The sequence below is a fragment of the Homo sapiens genome, chromosome 17 (assembly GCF_000001405.40).
Source record: "Homo sapiens chromosome 17, GRCh38.p14 Primary Assembly".
Lineage (NCBI taxonomy): Eukaryota > Metazoa > Chordata > Mammalia > Primates > Hominidae > Homo > Homo sapiens.
The window spans coordinates 7,881,501-7,884,795 of NC_000017.11; the positions used below are offsets into that span (position 1 = coordinate 7,881,501).

A 3,295-nucleotide genomic window follows, 5' to 3' on the forward strand; every position below is an offset into this window, starting at 1 on the left:
CTTTGAGGCAAAGGGGTTACTGAGAGGTTTAGGGGAGAGAGACTATCCTCATTGATGGAAGTTGGCAGAGAAGAAGCAAAGGAAGAAAAAGCTGGTAAGTATGAAGACTAAAGAGAGAAAAGCCTGAAACGGTGGGATAGCAGCAAACAGGGTAGACAGGCAAGAGAGATCTAAAGGGAGGCAAGGGAAAAGGAGGAACTTAACAGGCACAAATAAGAGAAGGAACAAGCAGAAGGGCAAGAGAAGAGGCAAACCAAGATGGGGAGCCGTGGCAGGGCCTGGAAGGTAGACAAACCGAGAGATGCAGGCTAAAAAAGTGATAGAGACAGGCAGGCGGGGAGACAGATGGCTAGAGAGAGAGTGGTGGGCAAACAGCCAGAGAAGCAGACAGACAACCAGAGAGGAAAAAGAGGCTGCCAGCCAGTCAGGGAGGAGCAGACAGGCAGGCAGGCAGACACCATAACAGGAGCAAGCAGGTAAAGAGGCAGAAATAAGGAGAGAAGAAGAAAAATCAAGAGGTCAGGAGAGAGAGAGAGAGAACAGAAAGAGATGCAGACAGGCAAAAGGGAGGATGGATGAGAGGGAGAATAAGGCAAATTAGCAAATCCACATGCAAAGCACACTCAAGAGAGAGAATGATGAGTGTTTGTATAGGGATGCACACGGCCACCTTTAGCCACCCGCACCTGCAGATCATGGCACATGTGGCAAGCAGAGGCTCTCAGTATAGGGAGAGGGCACAGAGGCAGAGAGGCTGCGGCGCACATGATGCGCAGTGTGGCCCACATACACGTGGAGACACTTCCCATACACAGTATGATCCACAGACACACACAGAAGGGGCCAGAAAGAGGGGGAGTCAGGCACACATGAGGAAGAGCCACACACAGTCAGAGACTGGAAGACAGAAGTAAGCAGAAAGAAGACAGAGATGGAAAGTCACGTAGAGGTGACAGAGCCTGAGGGTCCAAGGGATGAGAAGGATAGTCTCAGTTAAAAACAAAGACATAAATAGAGAGAAGCCCACAATATAGAAAGGGGGGGATAACCAGATGAACTAGTAAAGAGGGACAGAGAAAGAAGACAAGAGAGCAAAATCGACAGGAAAACTGGAAAAGGAGGAGGAGTTAGACTTAGTACAGAAATGATGTGGGAACCAAAGCAAGAGAATTCCAAAGGCCAGGTTAAAAAAAAAAGAGATGGAAACCAACACCCAATAAAGTGCATTAGTGTGGGGAGTGGAACATTAATAAAGAACATTTTAGCTTCATAAACAAAAATGTGCGTCATCTTCCCAGTCACTAATACTTTCTGGTTGCTGCCCACCTACCCCTCCCTCTCAGGGTGCTCCTGAGCACCGCCGAAGATGGGTGGCCAGCAGTTACACTGGAGAGGTAGAGGAATAACCCAGAGAGAAATGATTCCACAGGCATGGAATGGGAAGCAAGGGAAGGGGCAAAGGGAGATCAAAGGAATGGGAGGAAGCTAGAGTAAGAAAGGGTCAACAAGAATGAAAGAGGGTAGAACTGAGCTATTTGCCCTCCTTCCTTTGCTCCATTTGGCAAGGATCATTTTCTGTCTAGACCTCTCTGGGCAAATCTCTGTATGAGAAAGCTACTTTGGGACTCCTTTCCAACTGTCCAATTCCTGGTACCACTTTACCATAAACACTGGGGTACAGTTGGAAATCACAGGTCAGAAAGTTAGATGAAAACGCCTGGGTATAACCCCTACCTCTGCTTTTTCTCAGTTCCAGCTCCTTTCTCTTTCACGGTACCTCAGTTGCTTCTACTTTATCGGATAGTGTTGGAGATCATGGAGGGAAGGCAAATATACTGAAACGGAAGAAAAGAGAACATAATTTCACGATCTTCAGATTTGACTCTTTCCTCTTTATCCTAAAAATTTGTTGTTTACCCCCCAAATTAATTTCTCAAGTCAGTTGAATTTTACATTCTAACAATTGGAGGAGGGGAAAGCGAGGGAAAGGGGAAAAGAGTAAAGATAAAATTTATAACAATTATAAATCACTGAAAAGGCTGGGTAAAGGGGAGAATCAAACATGGACTCCTTTGAAAAAAACTCAATCATCGTATCTATTCATATCTCTCCCCCAAAAGTCACTAGGATTTCTATCACTTTTTTTAAAGAAAGCAGAAAAAAATCCAGTCCCGCTTCTCATTTAAAAGATATGTACACAATTAAATGCGTTGTGACTTCAATGAGGTATGTAGAAACAGAGTTATATATAAACATATATTTCATCTTTTTCCTTTTCAATGCCTGAAGGGGAAAAAAACCTTCACATCAAACCACTCCCTTCTGAAGTATTCAAAAAAAAAAAAGCTTTTCTTTAGAGAAGGGAGGTGGGGAGGAAGAGACTAGTAAAGAAAATAAAAAAAATTAAATCTAGTTGGACTAGTATCTAACTAGTTAACCTTTAACAATTTATGCTGATGTCAGACTGAGCATGAGTACTGATTAATGCCCCCCCTCAAATATTTTTTATAAGGGGGGAGTTAGTCACAGCAGCCATTTTTGTTTTATGCAGAAATCCTTCATGCCCCCCCAACACACACACACACACACACACACTTCAGTACACAAGGAAAATATCTCTATTAATCTGTGCACTAATCAGTTATGAAAAAGGAGAAATTTGTGGGTTTCTGGGTAAAGGCTTGGAGATGGGGGTGTAACAGGGAGGAGAATGGGGGGGTGAAAAATGAAATATTAAGCCAGCCATTTTGTTTGAAAAGGGGATTTTCCCCCCTCTCCCTTTCTTTATGGAGGGGGTGGCGGTGCTGGAGGGGGGGTTGTTTTAAAAATAATTTCAAGGCGGCCATCTTAGTGCCTCAGCTCTGAGAAATATTTCTGAGCGCCCCCCTCAGAATTTAAATATATTTAAAGCAACGGAGAGGGGGGCAGAGAGAAGTCGAAAACTTTTATATATATACATATATATATATATATATATGTATATATATATATATTTTAAATCCCCCTTTCTTGTTCTCTTGGGAGGAAAGAGAGAAGGAAAAAAAGTCTTTCCTCAATTTTTTCCAAGACAATTTTTGGGGGTGGTTTGGCCCCCCTCCTCAGACGGCGGCCCCGAGGGTGGGGGTTTCGGAGGGGGGTGGCCCGGGGGTTTGGGGGGCTGGGGGAGGCGGTGAGGAGGAGGAGGACGCCGCCGCCGAGGAGGAGGAGGAGGAGGAGGAGGAGGAGGAGGAGGAGGTGGTGGTGGTAGCGGTGGGGGAGGCGGGCGGGCGGTGGGTGGGGGGGTGGTGGGGGGGCC

At 45.4% G+C, this 3,295-nt stretch overlaps 1 protein-coding gene across 1 annotated transcript in view; it reads right to left on the reverse strand.

Moving 5' to 3' along the window:
* NAA38 (N-alpha-acetyltransferase 38, NatC auxiliary subunit) overlaps positions 1–3,295 on the reverse strand; it is a 28,736-nt gene that overhangs the window by 24,816 nt on the left and 625 nt on the right. The window contains exon 2 of the mRNA NM_001330111.2: positions 1,735–1,835. The gene's annotated coding sequence lies outside the window, so the exon portion shown is untranslated. The remainder of the gene's footprint in view (positions 1–1,734; positions 1,836–3,295) is intronic.